This window comes from Homo sapiens, chromosome 15 (assembly GCF_000001405.40).
Source record: "Homo sapiens chromosome 15, GRCh38.p14 Primary Assembly".
Classification (NCBI taxonomy): domain Eukaryota; kingdom Metazoa; phylum Chordata; class Mammalia; order Primates; family Hominidae; genus Homo; species Homo sapiens.
This window is the reverse complement of record NC_000015.10, coordinates 79,327,018-79,346,173: the sequence shown is the minus strand read 5'-3', so window position 1 is coordinate 79,346,173 and position 19,156 is coordinate 79,327,018. Positions and strand designations below refer to the sequence as shown.

At 41.5% G+C, this 19,156-nt stretch overlaps 1 protein-coding gene across 2 annotated transcripts in view, besides 4 other annotated features; it reads right to left on the bottom strand.

Moving 5' to 3' along the window:
• Positions 1 to 19,156, bottom strand: part of TMED3 (transmembrane p24 trafficking protein 3) — a 102,775-nt gene that overhangs the window by 67,713 nt on the left and 15,906 nt on the right. The gene's annotated exons all lie outside the window — the stretch shown is intronic.
• Positions 16,011 to 16,950: an enhancer, noted in NCBI's record as "H3K27ac hESC enhancer chr15:79621566-79622505 (GRCh37/hg19 assembly coordinates)". NCBI's record gives its function as "activates a minimal SCP1, AML or CMV promoter by ChIP-STARR-seq in naive and primed H9 embryonic stem cells {active_cell/tissue: H9 hESC(naive and primed)}" and the evidence as "EXISTENCE:reporter gene assay evidence [ECO:0000049][PMID:30033119]".
• Positions 16,011 to 17,891: a biological region, named in NCBI's record as "MED14-independent group 3 enhancer GRCh37_chr15:79621073-79622272".
• Positions 16,244 to 17,443: an enhancer, noted in NCBI's record as "MED14-independent group 3 enhancer chr15:79621073-79622272 (GRCh37/hg19 assembly coordinates)". NCBI's record gives its function as "activates an origin of replication core promoter dependent on BRD2, BRD4, P300/CBP and CDK7 cofactors, and independent of MED14, by STARR-seq in HCT116 cells {active_cell/tissue: HCT116}" and the evidence as "EXISTENCE:reporter gene assay evidence [ECO:0000049][PMID:35650434]".
• Positions 16,951 to 17,891: an enhancer, noted in NCBI's record as "H3K27ac hESC enhancer chr15:79620625-79621565 (GRCh37/hg19 assembly coordinates)". NCBI's record gives its function as "activates a minimal SCP1, AML or CMV promoter by ChIP-STARR-seq in primed H9 embryonic stem cells {active_cell/tissue: H9 hESC(primed)}" and the evidence as "EXISTENCE:reporter gene assay evidence [ECO:0000049][PMID:30033119]".

The following is a 19,156-nucleotide window of genomic DNA, read 5'->3' as shown; positions in this document are numbered from 1 at the left end:
CTGACAAATGGGATCTAATTAAACTAAAGAGCTTCTGCACAGCAGAGGAAACTATCAACAGAGTGAAGAGCCAACCTACAGAATGGGAGAAAATTTTTGCAAACTATGCATCTGACAAAGGTCTAACTCCAGCATCTATAAAGAACTTAAACAAATTTACAAGAAAAAATACAAACAACTCCATTAAGAAGCGGGAAAATGACATAAACAGATACTTTTCAAAAGAAGGCATACACGTGGCCAACAATCTTATAAAAAAGAGCTCAACATCACTGATGATTACAGAAATGCAAATCAAAACCATGAGAAGATGTCATCTTACACCAGTCAGAATGGCTATTAGTAAAAGGGAAAAAATAACAGATGCTAGTGAGGTTGTGGAGAAAAAGGAATGCTTATACACTGGTGGTGGGAATGTAAATTAGTTCAACCATTGTGGAAGACAGTGTGATGATTCCTCAAAGACCTATAAGCAGAAATATTATTTGACCCAGCAATCCCACTACTGGGCATATACCCAAAGGAATATAAATTGTTTCGTTATAAAGACACATGTATGTGTATATTCATTGCAGCACTACTCACAATAGCAAAGACATGGAATCAACAACCTAAATGCCCACCAATAATAGACTGGATAAAGAAAATGTGGTACATATAAACCATGGAATACTATGCAGCCAGAAAAAGAACAAGATCATGTCATTTGCAGGAACACGGATGGAGCTGGAGGTCATTATCCTTAGCAAACTAATGCAGAAACAGAAAACCAAATACTGCATGTTCTCACTTATAAGTGAGAGCTAAATGATGAGAACACATGGACACATAAAGGGGAACAACACACTATGGCCTATCAGAGGGTGAAGGGTGGGAAGGGAGAGGATCAGGAAAAATAACTAATGGGTACTAGGCTTAATATCTGGGTGATGAAATAATCTGTACAACAAACCCCCATGACACCAGTGTACCTATGTAACAAACCTGCACATGTACCCCTGAACTTAAAAGTTAATAAAAAATAAAGTAAATAAATTTTTAAAAAGAGCTTTCTATTTTTCTTCCCTGTCTGGATCTTTGGCCCAGTCTTTCTATTGAGTTGGTGGTCCTCTTCTTCCTGATTGGTAGCTCTCTATATTTATATGTCTTTCATTGTCCCCCTGTTTTCTCTCTTTCTGTGAGCATTTCCATTAAATTCCCATATGCTGCTCTGTCTCTCAAATTATAAAACAAAAACAGTCTCTTCCACATCTCCTTCCGGCTACTGCTCAAACACAGCAAAGCTTTAAAGTTAAACTCCTATAAAACATTGTCTCCCTTTCACACTGCCTCATCTCACTGGGCTCACTACAGTGAAGTCTTTGCCTCCAATGTTTCGTACAAATTACTCTTGTTAAGTCACCAACGATCTCGACCTTGCCAGATCCAAAGTTCAGTTACCAGTTCTCTTCTTGCTGGCCCTCTGGGTTGAATGAGGTTCCCCCAAATTCATGTCTTCCTGGAACCTGGGAATGTGACCTTAAAAGAAAAAGGGTTTTCTGCAGATGTAATTAAAGTAAGGATCTCAAAATAATGTCATCCTGCATTAGAGGACCCTAAATCCAATGACAAATCCTTATAAGAGAAAAGAGAGAGAGACCAAGAAACCACCATGTGAAATGGAGTTGGGGGTTTGGTGGTGTGTCATGGAACCTAGTCATGTATCCTAGCCTGGGGCCACCAGAATCCTGGAGAGAGACATGGAATGAGCTCTTCCCCAGAGCATCTGGAAGGAGCCAACCCTGCCAATACCTTGACTTTAGAATTATGGTTTCCAAAGCTGTGAGAGGAAAAAATTATGTTGTTTTAAGCTTCCCAGTTTGTGGTCATTTGTTACAGCAATCCTAGGACGCCAACACCAGCTCTCAGCAGCAGCATTTGACACCGAGGCTCACTCCTCACTCCTGAAAAGGCATCTTCTGGTGCCTTGTGGGCCACCACACTCTGGGGGGTTCCTTCTGTCTTTCCAGCTGCTCCCTCTCACTTTCTATTTGACCTTCTCTTCTTCTCAACTTCTATAAGTTGGAGGCCCATGGGATCTAGACCTGCTTTTCTGTCTTTATTTACTTGGTGAACTACGTAGGCCGAGTGTTTTTATTTCACCTTCTATCTACATATTTATGGAATCTCAAAGTTTTCTCTCCAGCCCAACCTACACTCTGAATTCCAGACTCATATGGCTGTTGAATTGCTATCTCTGCAGGACCTCTAATAGCGATCTCCAACTTAACATGGCCAAAACAGAGTGCTAGATCTGCCTCCACCAAAACTCCATCCCCAAACTCTCCTTCCCACAGTCAGGCTCATCTCAGTAAATGAGACTACCTTTCACCTGGTAGTTCAAATTCACAAAGTTGTCATTGACTCCTTTCTTTCTTTTGTGCCTCATATTCAACCCAAGAGCCTGTCCCACATCCTTCACCTCTCCAGTTGGTTGAATCCATTGTCATGTCTGCCTGGACTATGGCAGTAGCTCCTCACTCCCTGCATCCACTCTTACCCCTGCAGTCTACTACCCACAAAGCAGCCATAGTGACCCTTTGAAATATAAATCAACACAAATTTGAAGATTCATAGAAGCCCGATTTGTAATAGTGAAAATCAGAAACAACCCAAATATCTTTCAGTGTATGGATGTCTAAATAAAATGTGATACATCCATAGCATAAAATACTACTCAGAAATAAAATGAAAGAGCATATATTATGCTGAGCGAAGACAGATGATCTCAACAGGCCACATGTTGCATGATTCCATCTACGTGACATCTTCAAAGTGACAAAGGTACGCAGATGGAGAACAGATTAGTTGTTAACAGGCACCAAGGGTGGTAGAAGGGAGGGCAGTGTGTATGAGTATAAAGGACTGGCATGGAAGAGATCTCTGTAGTGATGGACAGAGTGTCTTGGTGATGGAGGTTGTATGCACCGTCCCATCATGGCCTGAAAGCTTTCTGTGAGCTGGCTCCTGGGTACCTTGAACTTCACTTTTTAACCACTATACCCCTTTCTCACTGCCACACCAATTCTTATCTCCATGCTGTTCCTCAAACAAACCCTTATATTTCCATCTCCAGACCTTTGCAATTGCTCTTTCTCCTAGCTGAAATGTCCCCTGCTCAAACAAAATCTCATCGATGAGACCTTCCTTACTACCCAATCTCAGTAATACCTATTCTCACTCCATCTCACTCTTTATACCCACACCTAACTTTGTCTTTATAGCACTTATCAGTACCTAATATTACATACATTTACTACTTTATCTGTTTATTGTCTGGCTGTTCCATGAGATGTAAGTTTCACAAAGGCAGGAACTTTGTGTTTTATGTTATTATCTCCCCAGTGCTAAGCAGGGCCCAGTGTAACACAGACACTTAACAAATGGTTATTAACTACTTAATTAATTAAGATGACTAATCTTTTGTGATATGAGTTGTAATATGAGTTTTTCCTCAGTTTGCCTTTTGTCTTTTGGTTTTGTTTATACAGTGTATATGTGTGTGTTTGTGTGCATGCTTTACCATGCAACAATTTTAGATTCTAGGTAGTTAGATTTATCAACTTCTTTTATGATATTGTACTTCAAAGGACTCCCTTAAGGTAAATAATATTATTTTCAAAGATTTTCCTCTAGCATTTAAATTTTTTTCTTTGTAATGTTTACAATTTTTATCTACCTGGAAGTTATTTTAGCATAAAGTATGAAGCAGAGATTAACCTTTTTTGATATAAAAGTTGTGACACTGCTTTATTTTTCTTTCTGTTCACATAGTATATCTTTGCCAACCCTTCTTCAAATTTGCTGGACAACTTGGTCTTAATTGTGTTTCTTGTATACAACATCTTGTTTATGTTGCATACAACATAAAATTGGGTTTTGCTTTGTGATCCAACATTTTCTCTTCTGATAGATGAGTATCATTTTCCTTATCTATATGTCAGATATGGTTGATGTAAGATCTTTTATCCTATCTTTATTGCTTATATCTCTGCTTCAAACTCTTGTTTTGTAACGACAATTACTTATTTCTTAAACTGATAATGACATATTTAGTCATAATTTTCATCTGCCCCCATCCACGTTTTTTAGTTTTTCTCATCTTTAATGTGTTTTTATGTGTCATTTTTATTTTGTCACATTTTTGTACCAACCAAGGTTTCTCAGCCTAGCACTGATGACACTCTGGGTCGTATACTTCTTCATCAGTGGAGGGCTGTCCTGTGCCTTGCAGGATGTTCAGCAGCATCCCTGGACTCTACCCAGTAAGCGCCTCCTCCTCCCCAGTTGTGACAGCTAAAAATATCTCCAGACATTGTCAAATGTCTCCTCAGGGGCAAAATCACTGGTAGTTGAAACCGCCGAAAGAGATCATGCGGTCCTTCCTTTTGATCCCTCATCTCTGCAAGAAGTGAATTCTTCCTGCTTGGGGATGAGCCCACACTCCAGTGAAGTAGGAATTTTTCTTATGGCACAGGGAAGGGGAATAAACGAATTCCTGTAAACTTTTCTGTTCCGCAGCCTACTGGGCTTGGCAGCTGTTCAGCAACTCGCAGAGCAGTCTCTCTTCTCCATCTGCCTCGCTAACAGCAGCCACAGTGATCTAAAAACCTACGCCTGGCCATGGGCTCGCCTACCTAAAACCTGTCAAAGGATGAAGCTCAAGCTCCCTCTTATGGGATTTGTAGTATATTATGGCAATCTTTATATTATGGTAAGGCTCCTTTGCTGGCCCTTGCATCCTCTCCATCTTTACATATACCTATTCCCATCTTACCTTCTCTTCCTATGGTCCAGCCCAGCCAAAGTCCTTGCCTCCCCTGAGTACTCAAGACCACATGAAACTCTGTGCCTCTGCTCATGCTTCCTTCCATCATCTGCTGTCTTTCTTCCCCTGCTGGCTTTCTTTCTTCACCTTTTTTTTTTTTTTTTTTTTTTTGAGACAGGGTCTTGCTGCTGTGTCACTCAGGCTGAATGCAGTGGCATGATCGCAGCTCACTGAAGCCCCTGTCTCCCAGGCTGAAGCAATCCTCCCACCTCACCCTCCCAAGTAGCTGTGACTACAGGTACACAGCACCACACCCAGCTAATTTTCTATTATTTTGTAGAGATGGGGCCTCAGTATGTTGCCCAGACTGGTCTCAAATGCCTGCATGCAAGTGATCCTCCTGCCTTGGCCTCCCAAAGTGCTGGGATTGCAGGCATGAATCACTATGCCCAGCAAATTACCTTTTATCTGACCCCTCTCACTCAATTGGCCACACTCTACCTTAAGCTAGTACCTCTGTCACAATTCATACTTGATAAGTGAATGGATGTATGAATTAGTGAATGGATACATGAAGGAATGATGTATTTTTCTTATTGATGTCATTCTGGGCAGTAGTTTGGCTTATTGGAAAATTAATGAATGAATGCATCCATGATACCACTTCCAAGTTACATCATAATTGACATAATGAGAAAATGCCGGAAAAATAACCTCCTTGCATTTAATAGTCCTGAATAACAATTATGGCTAACATTCATTAACTGTTGACTACACGCCAGGTGTATTAGTGATCTTTTGCTGCATAACGAATTATCTCAAAATTTTTTGGCACTTCACGACTGCAAACACTGCTTATCACCATCTCAATGGATCAGGAATTTAAGAGAGATTTAGCGGGGTGATTCTGGCTCAGGGTGTCTCAAGAAATTGCAGTCCAGATAGATGCTGGCTGGGGCTGAGGAGGTTGAACTAGATGGTTTTCAACAGCTCAAAGTCCATGACACTCTGTGATATGTTGACTGGCCCCGAAATTCCCACAACCTGATCTCTTGCAGAGACCCACACTTCTCCCTGCTGAGGAGCAGCTTCTTGAGTGGAGACCATGGCTTGTGCCTGCCCAATCCTTGAGGTAAAGTTGAACTTTATTGATGTTTCTCTACTGTCCTCTTGTGGTCATTTCTCATATTGCTGCAGTTCTTCAAAAAGATGAAATTCAAGTATTTCTAGTAAAAGCTAATTACCGTGCTCAATACAGTACTTTAAACAGTATTTACTAGGAGCAATGGGAGATACACATTCATGTAATTTGGCTTTGGAGGGTTTAGTCTTACTAGCAGTGAGACACACAGCCCTAGAAGTGTATGATATTATGCAGTAGTGTGTGTGTGGTGTGGCTCAGAGCTAGATCAGAGGTCTAACACTGCTCTCTACACACATCATCTCCACCACCATCACCATCCTAATCACCACCATCACCACCATCACCACTACCATCATCACCACCATCATCCTAATCACCACCATCATCACCACCATCACCACTACCATCACATTCACACCATCACCACCACCACTGCCATCACCACCATCAACACCACCATAATCACCACTATCACCATCATGTCATCACCACCACCATAACACCATTGCCACCACCATTACTACCATCACCACCATCATCACCATCACTACCACTCCTCTGTCATCACCACCCGCTAGCAGCTGCACTGCCGCCACCATCACTGCCACCCTCATCATGACCACTACCATGATCACTGCCAACACCACCCCAAATTTGGAGCTATCCGACACTGTGGACTTTTGCAATGGAAGTTAATAGAATCAACAGCAAATGAAACAGATTAGCTTAAAATTTAATATTTGTACAGTGTAGGGACCAGCCCCACAGGGTCGGTGGGTCTCTCCCCGTGTGCGGAGATGAGAGAGTGTAGAAATAAAGACACAAGACAAAGACATAAAAGAAAAGACACCTGGGCCCGGGGGACCACTACCACTAAGTTGCAGAGACCGGTAGAGGCCCCGAATGCCAGGCTGCACTGATATTTATTGGATACAAGACAAAGGGGCAGGATAAGGAGAGTGAGCCATCTCCAATGATAGGTAAGGCCATGTGGGTCACGTGTCCACTGGACAGGGGGCCCTTCCCTGCCTGGCAGCTGAGGCAGAGAGAGAGAGAGGAGACAAAGAGAGAAACAACTTACACCATTATTAGAGACTTTTAGTACTTTCACTAATTTGTTACTGCTATCTAGAAGGCAGAGCCAGGAGTACAGGATGGAACATGAAGGCAGACTAGGAGCATGACCACTGAAGCACAGCATCACAGGGAGACAGGCCCCTGGATAACTGCGGGTGAGCCTGACTAATGTCAGGCCCTCTACAAGAGGTGGAGGAGTACAGTCTTCTCTAAATTCCCCGGGGAAAGGGAGACTCCCTTTCCCGGTCTGCTTAGTAGTGGGTGTTTTTCCTTGACACTTACGCTACCGCTAGACCACGGTCCGCCTGGCAACGGGTGTCTTCCCAGATGCTGGCATTACCGTTAGACCAAGGAGCCCTCTGGTGGCCCTGTCTGGGCATAACAGAAGGCTCGCACTCTGTCTTCTGGTCACTCCTCACTATGTCCCCTCAGCTCTTATCTCTGTATGGCCTGGTTTTTCCTAGGTTATGATTATAGAGCAAGGATTATTATAATATTGGAATAAAGAGTAATTGCTACCAACTAATGATTAATGATATTCATATATAATCATATCTAAGATCTATATCTGGTATAACTATTCTTATTTTATATTTTACTATACAGGAACAGCTCGTGTCCTCGGTCTCTTGCCTCGGCACCTGGGTGGCTTGCCGCCCACAGTACAGAGCTTTTAATTTTACAAGGAACTTTCACAAATATTTTATTATTGAAACCTTGCAATAGCCCTAAGAGGTGAAGCCAGGGCAATTACCATCCTTCTATTTACTTTGCCTTTGAGATGTTTAATGCAGAAAATACTAATGGTAACATAACAAACACCCACATATCTGCCACTCAGGACTAACAAATGCTAATATTTTGTTATACATTCTTCAGATTTTTTAAAGAAAAAAATACTGCACAGATAAAATGGAAATCTCCTTTGTACCCCATCCCAATTTCTATCTTCAATTCCCAGAGGTAAACTTTTCTTTACAATCTGTGTTTTTATAATTTTACTATATATTATACATGAACACATTTATTTTTCCCATGAGCTATACAGAATAGTGTTTAATGTGTGTTTTTACTGATATATAAGTGATACCACATTGGATGGTTTTCCTTTTTCACTGTACACTCTGGTGTGTCTTCAATATTATTTCATGTTGCTTTATTGGGAGCTATTTTATTCATTTCCAACTGTTATAAAGTATCCCCATATACAAGCATGCAACGTTTTGTTTATTCATTCCCATCCATGTGCATTTGAGTTATATTGTAATGTTTTATCACCAAACACAATGCTGCAGTGAATATCATTGTACATTTCCCTTAATACCACATTTTGTTACAAACGAGGAAACTGAGGGTCAGAGGGGAGAGACCATGTGGTCTGCTCATCCTCACACAGCTCCCAGGAGCAGAGTCAGGATTTGATCACTACCGAACTGTTCCATACTCCAGGAATCTTCTGTGCACGTTCCTGCTGATGCGAGTGTGTGATCGATATCTTATAAAAGAGATCAGGAAAAAGGGAAGTAATTCAAGCTACGAAATGCACCTAGTCTTGACAAAATAGTGGTTCTAGTAGAATATAATTTAATTTTTTAAAAGCAGCATAGGTTGAAAGACTTGGATGGAATTTATCTAACACTGTCTGTTATTGGCTGAACTGTGTCCTCCCCTTTCTCCCAAATTATTCTATTTTTGTTTTTTGTTTTTCCCCCAAATTCTTATGTTGAATTCTGAACCCACAGTGTCTCAGAATGTTACTATATTTGGAGATAAGGCTTAAAGAAGTAATTAAATTAACTACAGTGAGCCCTAACCCAACATAACTGTTGTCCTTATATAAAGGGGAAATTAGGACACAGACATGCACAGGGAAGGGACCGTGTGAGGACACAGAAGACAGCCATCTGCAAGCCAAGGAGAGAGGTCTCAGGAGAAACCAACCCTGTTGACACCTTGATCTCTGACTTCCTGCCTCCAGAACGGTGAGAAAATTAATTTCTGTTCTAAGCCACCCAGACTGTTGGACACTTTGTTATGGCAGCCCCAGCGGACTATGACACTTTGCAACTGATAGCAGCTAAAGCAGATAGATCCAATAGATTCTGGTCAGTTCACATACAGGCTTGGTAGTAGTGAGGCCTGTTCCACCAGGGTCCACCACAGCCCAGAGCTTTCAAGCCCCTTGCTCTGGTGACAGATGCACAAAGCATTTGTTGTCTGTTATTATTATAACTACTTTGACACTTGGAAGTTGTGACATGGTAAGTGTCCTGAGTGTTTCATGTACTGGAAATATCTATGTCCCTCTATTTTATAAGTCAATCGATCAACTCTAGTGGGTGTAGTGGGTGGAGTTTGCTGGGTTGGATCCACCTAGAGTAAAAATATTAGCTAGGGTGCTAATGTGTTTTTTTCTTTGTTTGTTTTTTGTGTTTGTTTGTTTGTTTGTTTGTTTTGAGACAGAGTCTTGCTCTGTCTCCCAGGCTGGAGTACAGTGGTGTGATCTTGGCTCACTGCAACCTCTGCTCACTGCAACCTCTGCTCACTGCAACCTCCATCTCCTGGGTTCAAGTCATTCTCCGGCCTCAGCCTCCCAAGTAGCTGGGACTACAAGCACCTGCCACCACACCTGGCTGATTTTTGTATTTTTAGTAGAGGCAGGGTTTCACCATGTTGGCCAGGCTGGTCTCGAACTGCTGACCTCAAATGATCCACCCACCTCGGCCTCCCAAAGTGCTGGGATTACAGGCATGAGCCACTGTGCCCAGCCCTAATGTAGTTTGTTTTTGGCTCTATCAAGACACCCCCAGATCCAGCTCCACTAGCCAGCCAGTGGGGGCCTAGCTTTTTGATGTTTTAATATCTGCCTGCCAGAGCCACAGAGGTTCAGAGAGGGGAAGATTTACAACCTCATGTATAAGAAATGCCCCACCTCCGTGGCACCAGAATAAGAAAGGAGTGAATCTGTAGCTCCAGACTCCACAGCCACACTTCAGCTGCCACCCTTATCCCTGACCAATTATTCCTTTATCAAAATTTTTCATCAGGAATGGCTTGTATTGATCTTACAAACTTAGTTTTCAGGGCCTCTTGAGATGACCAAATGGCTTTCCTTATTTTCCTTACTAGCTGCATAGCCTTGGGAAAAGATTAAATTCTCTGTGTCTCAGTTTCCTCATCTGTAAGATGGGAGTATTAATGGTTCCTATGCTGCTGAGCTGTTGTGAGAGATTAATGAAATGCCACACAAAAAAGCACTAAGAACTGTGGTTGGTGCCTAGCAAGAACTCAATGTAATTTCTTTTGTAGTCATTAATGTTCTATCAGGAAAAGTTAGAAAGCTAGCGTTTACATTTTCTCTTACCTTCCCTCACCTCCTAATTCTCAATTTCAATTTGCTGTATTGCAATTTTTAAATAATTAGACTTCATAACATTTATAGTCCCTAGATTGTTCATAGTTGTCTAGCCTCAGCTGTATATTTTAATGGATGAAATGCTTGAAAACCTGCCCTTTTTGTGATGGCCCCTTTCCTTTCCTTACTCAGTAGAGTTTTTCCTGGGGTAGCTGATTCAAGAGTGGTTCAAAGGTGCTCTGTGCCCTGAATTCCTTCTAGTTTTAGAAAGGCCACCTGTGGCCTTTGTAACTGAATGACAAATTAGCAGTGTATCATTTCCCTGGGTCCACACTGTCTCTCCCAGAGTTCCCTGAGGACAGTATTCCAGGGTCTTATCCCAGTAAATGTCAAGAAATAGTTTGGGGTCACATGATTTCTCCCTCTGACAGGTTACTTGCTTTTTTGTCTTTGTTGTTTGTTTGTTTGATGAAACTTCAATGTTGTTTGTTTATTTTTCCCAGAAGCCCAGGAATATCACCAGAATCTGTCTGTGTTAATCATTTTGCTTTATTTTTTCCTGAAACGCAAGGTACCTTTTTAAACTGAGGATTTAGGTCTTCCTTGACTTTTATTAAGGCTTTCTTTTTTTACGTCTTTGAAATTGTTCTGTTTTCTTCTTCAGGAACACCAATTACCTGCATGATGGATATCCTTGTTGTACAAAGCTGTCTGGCTCTCCCTAATAACTTTCAGCTTTTTGTTCTTTTTGTTTTCCATTTGTTTTTCAGACAGTCTTCTCAAGCCTTTCTTTAGTGTCCCTCCCTTGATTTCAGCAGTGCAGTGCCTGTTCTCATTTTGGCATCTTAAAGTTAACTATCATTTCTGAAATGATGTTTCCTCTTCCACATATTCCCTGAGACTGGACAGCTCCTTTTCATCTCTTTTGTTGTATTATAACCCCTTCTACAATTTCTTGTAACCTTCTCTGAAGTCTTGTTGCCTTTTTTAATTTTTTTCCTTTTTCTAAGACTATGAGGGAAAAAATGTGTGCACTGTTTGACTTCCTGGAGTAATTCTTCCGAAATACATTTCCTGCGTGCCTTCTATTTGTTACTTTGCCGTGATCCTGGTCTTGAATTGTCACTTTTCCTTTTGTGATCCAGGTCACTGATTTGCTGAAGAGTCACACTGTGTGGGGAGAAGTTGAGGCAGAAGCAAGCTGCGAGTCAGAGGTGCCTTCTCCACATCCTTTCTCATCAGTTCTCCTGAGATTTGGGGCTATAAAGCTCCCCCCGACCCTTCCTTCACCTGCCACATCTCCTGCACACCTGCCTGAAAAGCTTCTCCTCTGACCCCACCTGCCCTGCCACTCTGAAATGAGGAAAAGAGAAGGGGTCACCCCTGCTGCTCACACATGGCCCCTAGATGCTGCCATTCCAAGCTCCACCATTTGGCCATTCAGGACCAAAACCTTCTTCTTTTAGGAAAGTCTTAACCCTCTAGGACTGTTCTAGTCCTCTCCTTCCCTTTAGTTCAAATATCACTGCATTTGACAGCCACTCTTCATAGCTAGTGATTTTTGACTATGGCTCTTTCCTGGTTTCAGTAATTTAAATTCTATTTTACTCTTATTTGCTTGGGTTGATTTTAAGGAACTGGATGTCGGGGGAAGACAGGGATCTTCCTTTTTACTTCAGAAGCCCAAGATAATTAGTTTAGAACAGTTACTCTTAAGCTATTAGTTCTATTAATTTGCTATTAGCTAATAGCAAATTAAGTTCTACTAATTTGCTATGGTCTGTGAGGCTACTCTGGATTTGTGATAATCTTATCAAACCACAAATGCTTAGGAGGATATGTTTTCCCCAATTTCTTAGAGCTGAGGTGAGTGCATATATATTAATAAAGTTGGTTTTGATTCAAACCATGTTTGAAGGAGAATCTACCTGAGTACAGCCCTGTTTTACTTAGTTTGAAATATTATATTGTCATTTGAGGACTCTTTCCTACTAATTCTAATTCTCACAGTAGCTTTAAACAAAGGGTGTGGGGGCCTCAGCCACCAGGAGTCTATATTGAAAAAAGGTAGCCAAGCCATTACTGTTTCCTGTGCACTACTGAAAGCTGAAAATAGCCCAACAAAACATGTGAAAGTCTTATCAAGTTCTTGAACGATTTCTCCAGGATGTGATCAAAAGTGTAAAAGTAGTTACTGGTGCAGAAGCCATATCTGAAGACTATTTCTTCCTATGGTCAAATATTGAACTGAAAAACACAAACCTGCAGAAGGAAAATAGCCTTAAACTATGTTAGCATCTCCAGAATTATAATGGCTCAGTAGTTTTGAGGGCATACAAACGCTTATGTCTAGCGTTATATTAGGAAAAAGACAGTTGCTTTCTACATAACCTAAAAGTTCCAGTTTGCAGTTTGGTGGTGAGCAGGGAGGAGTTAACAACATTCTAGTCTGTCACTGCCACCAGAGCTGGAAAAACAGGTTCTCCCCAAACTTGCTCCATATCCTGTCATTCAACTGTGTTAGATTTTGCTTGCCTATGAGTTTGACCAAGAATGTTCTATCAGCATTCTTACAATTTTGCTTAAATAAATGTCACAGGGGAATGGTCTCCCCAGTAGACCTGTACCAGGTAAAGTCCTAGCACAGATGCACTCCGACTTTTGGTTCTTTGGAGATGAATGTCCTAGAATACACAGAGTTTAAAGACTGTCCCACTGCAAGCAGGCAGTCAGAATGGAGTGCAAGAGAAGGATTTATGCAAATGTCAAAGCACAGAGGAAGCAAACCAGGCGAGATGGAACACTGGGCAGTCAGGGGCCATTCATTCCTGCACAGACTGGGAATAAAGTGGCCACAGGCTTCACCTCAGCTATGTTTTTCCCTAAGGCTGGAGAGGAGGTGAGCCTGAAAGTTTGGAAATGACGAAGTTAAATTGCTAGACTCCATGTCCCACATCATACAATATGGAAGCCCAGAATACATCATAAACACTAGATCAGATGACTTTTGTTCAGAATGTCACCCAGCTGTGCTCCAGGAGGGAGATATTAATCCATGGGAAATCACAACCAGGTAGGTCCGTGGGCCTGGAAGGAGGCCACCATGAGACACTTACAGCTGAATGATAAGCGAGAATGGGCCTGCCGGTTTTACCTTGTCTGGAAAGCAGCCCGCCTTGCCCCAGCATACTGGCCAAGCCTCTCAGAAGGCAACATCTTCCTGATGGCAATAAACTATGGGACTATTGCTGGAGGGTTGCCCTTAAGAGAAAAACCAAGTCTTTAACATGTCTTAGTGGGAGGAAGATTCTGGTAAAATAATAGCTTGAATGTGCCCCAATTGCCCTCTACTCCCACTTTTAACTCATCCACCTCACCAGGCTGAAGAGTTTCGCATTGGCCAGATGGCCTGTGTGAGCGAGGCATCACCACATCTGAGAGTTTTGAAGCAGCTGTACAGGATTGTCTCCCTTGGAGCCTGATGGGCAATCCTGTCTGCTGCTCTCAATTAATACAGTTATTAATTCTATCCATTGATGATGGCGGTATCTACCTGCTCTATCATTCCCTCCATTGGTTCCTTTAACATCAGTATGTAATCTTCCTGTTCAGTACGATAGTTTGCCTTGAATTCTATTTTGTCAGATGCTACGGCTATTGCCTCACTTTTCATTTGGTTATTTCCCTGGAAAGTCTTTTTCATCCTTTTCTTTCTTATTTATGTATTTATTTATTTTTGAGACAAGGTCTTGCTTTCTTACCCAGGCTGGAGTGCAGTGGTACAATCATAGCACACAGCAGCCTCCGTCTCCCAGGTTCAAGCAATCCTCCCACCTCAGCTTCCACAGTGTATAAGAGTTCCCTTTTCTCTGCATCCTCACCAGTATTTGTTATTTTTTGTCTTTTTCAAAATAGCCATCCTAACTGGGGTGAGATGATACCTTGTTGTGGTTTTGATTTGCATTTCTCTGATAATTAGTGATGTTGAGCATATTTTCATATATTTTGTCGGCCATTTATATGTCTTCTTTTGAGAAATATTCATTCAGATTGTTTGTCCATTGTTTAATTGGATTTATTTTTTATCTTTGATATGTTTGAGTTCCTTGTACAGTCTGGATATTAATCCTTTATCTGATGAATACTTCGAAAATATTTTCTCCTGTTCTTCAGATTGTCTCTTCACTCTGTGTCTTTTGCTGTGTAGACTTTTTAGTTTGATATTATCCTTTTTTTTTTTTTTTTTTTGCTTCTTTTGCCTGTTCTTTTGAGGTCTTATTTATAAAATCATTTCCCAGACCAATGTCCTGAAGTGTTTTTCCTTTGTTTTCTTCTAATAGTTTTAACATTTGGGGTCTTACATTTAGGTCTTTGATCATTTTGAGTGGATTTTTGTGTTGGGTGAAAGATAAGGGTCTACTTTCATTCTTCTGCATGTGGATTTTCAGTTTTTTCAGCACCATTTATTGAAAAGACTGTCCTCCCAATGAAGGTTCTCAGCATTTTTGTCAAAAATCAGTTCACTGTGTTATGGTTTGGGTTTATGTCCCCACCAAATCTCATGTCAAACTGTAATCCCCAATGTTGGAGGTGGGGCCTGCTGGGAAGTGATTAGATCATGGGGGCAGATTTATCATGAATGGTTTAGCACCTCTTGGTGCTGTCCTCACAATCTGGTTGTTTAAAAGTGTGTGGCACCTCCCCTCTTGGTCTCATACTCCTGCTTTCACCATGTGAAGTGTTGGCTTCATGAGTAAAAGCTCCCTTAGGCCTCCCCAGAAACAGATGCTACTATGCTTCCTGTACAGCCTGCAGAACTGTGAGCCAATTAAACCTTTTTTCTTATGAATTACCAAGTATTGGGTATTTATTTGTATCAATGTGAGAATGTACTAATATAGCTATAGATATGTAGATTAATTTCTGGGCTTTCTATTCTGTTCTCTTGATCTATGTGTCTGTTTTTATGCCAGTACCATGCTGTTTTGGTTACTACAGCTTTGCAGTATACTTTGAGGTCTGGAAGTGTGATACCTCCAGGCTTTGTTCCTTTTGCTCAGGATTGTGTTGGCTATTTGGGGTCTTTTATGGTTCCATATAAATTTTAGGATTTTAAAAATATTTCTGAGAAAAATATAATGAGTATTTTGATGGGGATTGCCTTTAATCCACAGATTGCTTTGGGTAGTATGGTCCTTTTAACAATATTAATTTTTTGATCCATGAGCATGGGAATTTTTTCCAATTACTGTATCGTCTTCAATTTCTTTCATCAGTGATTTGCAGTTTTCCTTGTAGAGATTTTTCACATCCTTGGTTAAATTTATACCTAGGTATTTTATTTATTTTATAGATATTATAAATGGGATTGCCTTCTTGACTTCTTTTTCAGCTAGGTTGTAGTTTGTATATATAAATGTTACTGTGTTTTGTATGTTGATTTTGCATCCCGCAACTTTACTGAATTTGTCAATTTTAATAGTTTTCTGGTGGAGTCTTTAGGTTTTGCTAGGAATAAGACCATGTCATTTACAAACAAGGACAATTTGAATTGCTCCTTGAATGACCTTTATTTCTTTATCTTACCTAATTGCTCTGGCTAGGACTTCCAGTACTATGTTGAATAAGAGTGGTTAAGAGTGGGCATCCTTGTCCTGTTCCAGTTCTTAGAGAAAAAGCGTTCAGCTTTTCACTGTTCAATATGATGTTAGTTAAACCTTAGCTGTTTAGTCATTGCCTTTCTTGGGGTGTGGTGAGGCGAGGAGGTGGGGAATGACCACCGGGCATCTCTAAATAGCCATCCTGTTGCTGTCATTTTTAACATTCTACTTTTATATTTTTCATATATAGCATTTCTACTTGGTTCTTTTTATGACTTCTTGTTACAGCAAAATATTATTAAAATATTCTCTTGTAGAGTATATTTATCATGCTGCTTAAAAAAATTGTGGTCCACATGTGTCACACCAAGTGTCAGGTTCCAGCCCATGCTGAGGTCCAAGGGGAGTGGGTGGATGGGTGGCGGACAGCAGGAAGAACATTCGGGGGCTGTAGACAGGTGAAATATGGTTTTATTCAGCAGCTCTCTCATGCTGTCTGCTTTTATCTCCGCTACCTGCTCCGGCTCTGAGGCTCCTGCGGCTCCTGTGGCTCCCACACTTACAGCTGCATTCCCTGGCCTGCCAGGCCACCTCTGCCTTACAGGGTCAACAGCTTCACACTCTCTCCCTCTCTGGGCACAAGCTGTATGTGCAATGTCAGCAGGGCAGTTATACCTTTTACAAACAATAGTGGCTCTGAGCCAAGTACAAGCTTACACAAACAGGCTATTTAACAAGTGGAGTTATGCGCCTGTGTGCTAAACTTGCTGAGTCACTCTGGCCAGGATGTCTGCCTCTGCCTATTCCTGACCAAAGCACATCCATTTACCTTACAACATGTTCCAGTGATTCTGGTATAACGATATTTTGTATCCATTTGTTGTATCCCCTGCAGTCTAGCTGTTTGGGGCTGTGAGTCATGCTCCCATGAGGTCTGGTGATGTGTATTGAGAAGGGCTAAAGGCCAGGCCCTGGTTGTTGTCTCTTTAGAGAGTTTAAGGGAAGGAAGGGAACCCCTGGACAGAGAAAATCACAGAAGAAAATCCCCATTTGCTAATACTTGACAACTTCATTCAAAGTTCACTTTAAACTCTCAGAAACAACCACTTTGGAATAAAATGGTGGCCTTAGTTTTTAATCCACCACCCCTAGGTATTAAAAAGGGGAGGACAAGGAGGACTGGATTCCACCCAGACAGGGGCTTTGATCTACCTGCTATTGTCCCATAGGGCCAACAGCAACCTGGGCTGTGCCACTGAATTCATGGCAAAGGGGTCGGCTGTGGGTGCCTTAAGGCAACACATGGGAGAGGCAGGCACAGAATGGAAATGTTTTTCCTCCAACTTTGCTTCTCAGTGCTCTCCAGGGGCCTCTGCCCCCAGGCTACAGTGTCCTCCCACCCCTCTCCACAGACCCCTCTTCCAGTTTCTCACAGCTGTGTGTGTGAGAGAGTTCCTCAGATGCAGGCTTCTCTCTTGCTTCTGTGGTTTCTCCAGGCTTGATGTGGAGGATGGTCACCTTGCCAGGTCACTACCTGAAGGTGACATGGGGTCTTTGTAACTTATCCTTGCCCCCAACCCCATCCAACACATACACTTACTCCACTGTTCTGCAGCTTCCAGATGTCTGTCCACCAGGTGCAATGCAAACCCAGCCCATTTTGGGGGGCTGGCTGTGAGCATGGCTAAACCAAAGGTCGCGTCCCAGGTGCAGCCCACACAGGCTTTAGACCTGCTTAAGGCCCAGTTTTTTTGCATAGAAGTCAGGGGAATAGATAAATTTTAGTTAATATTTTAATTGCCTGAAAGATTACTTTATAAATTAAAGGAAAATGGGGTTTTTAATTTTTTTTTACAATTAAAAATGCAACTCAAATATATTTTCTTTTCGAAGGCAAGTGATACGAGAAGCCAGATTATCATCAAAAGACTGCTTGGTGATCCTAAGAGGATCAGCCGTGACTTTTTCTTCCTCCTATATCATACAACCCACTGGCTCCCTTGTGCTTCTTTCCTTTTGCGATGAATACAGTTACCAAGAAAGGTGACTTTTTTAAACCACTGTTGAATCAAAGTCCAAGAGAAAGTAACGTGCTTTGGCATTCACTAGAGAGCTTGAGCAGAAGCAGCTTCATTTTCTATGAAGAGCAGAACAGTCTCCAACACTTATATGTCATTTAGGAGTTGATAACTATATTATATTTACTTTTGTAGCTCTTAGAATTCTTACACAAGCCCCCAAACACATAGAAAAAGATATGGCCATTGGCTGAGTGCTGCCACCCTAACTAACCCCAAGGAAGCAACTATTTTCTATTTTATTTTAGAAGGCTTGTGATCAGATAAAATGAACCATCCCTCAAATGACTATAGCACATAACACTGAAACTCCAGGGAGAAGCAAATAAAAGCTGTCGAATTGCCAGTTCCAACAAGAAGTAGCAAGAATGTCTGACAATACTTTCTCATAGATAGATCTAGATGGTCAGACTCTCCCAGATACCATCACATCAAGTTTATTTAGTAGTGTTTTTTTGGGTGCGTGTGAGTAGAAAGAAGGAAATTAGTATTTGTCTCAGACCAGTATTGTGCTAGGCACATTCGCATACAGGATCAAACAGCAGGGCTGGAAGAAATATACTGAATACACAGGTCTCTGTGCTCGAACATTTGTACATTTAAAAGAACATCCAGCCTTTTCCCAGAATTTTCCAACCCAGGGGTGATTATATGTGTATTTGCAGTTTTGTTCTAATCATCCCTGTTTTCTAGAGTTTTAGTTCATTTAGGCTACTATGACAGAATACCACAGATTGGGTGACATATAAATAACAGAAATTTATTTCTCACAGTTCTGGAGACTGGGATGTCCAAGATTAAGGCATTGGCAGATTTAGTGTTTGGTGAGATCCCATTTCTGGTTCATAAATGGCTGTCTTCTCACTGCATCCTCACGTGGCAGAAGGGGCTAGGGACCCACTATAGTTTGGATGTTTGTCCTGCCAACCTCATATTAAAATTTGATACCAGTGTTGGAGATGGGGCCTAGTGGAAGGTGTTTGGGCCATGGGGGCAGATCCCTCATGGATGGCTTGATGCTGTCCTTGCTGTAGTGAGTGAGCTCTTACTCTATTAGTTCCCACAAGAGCTGGTTGCTAAACAAGGCCTGGCACC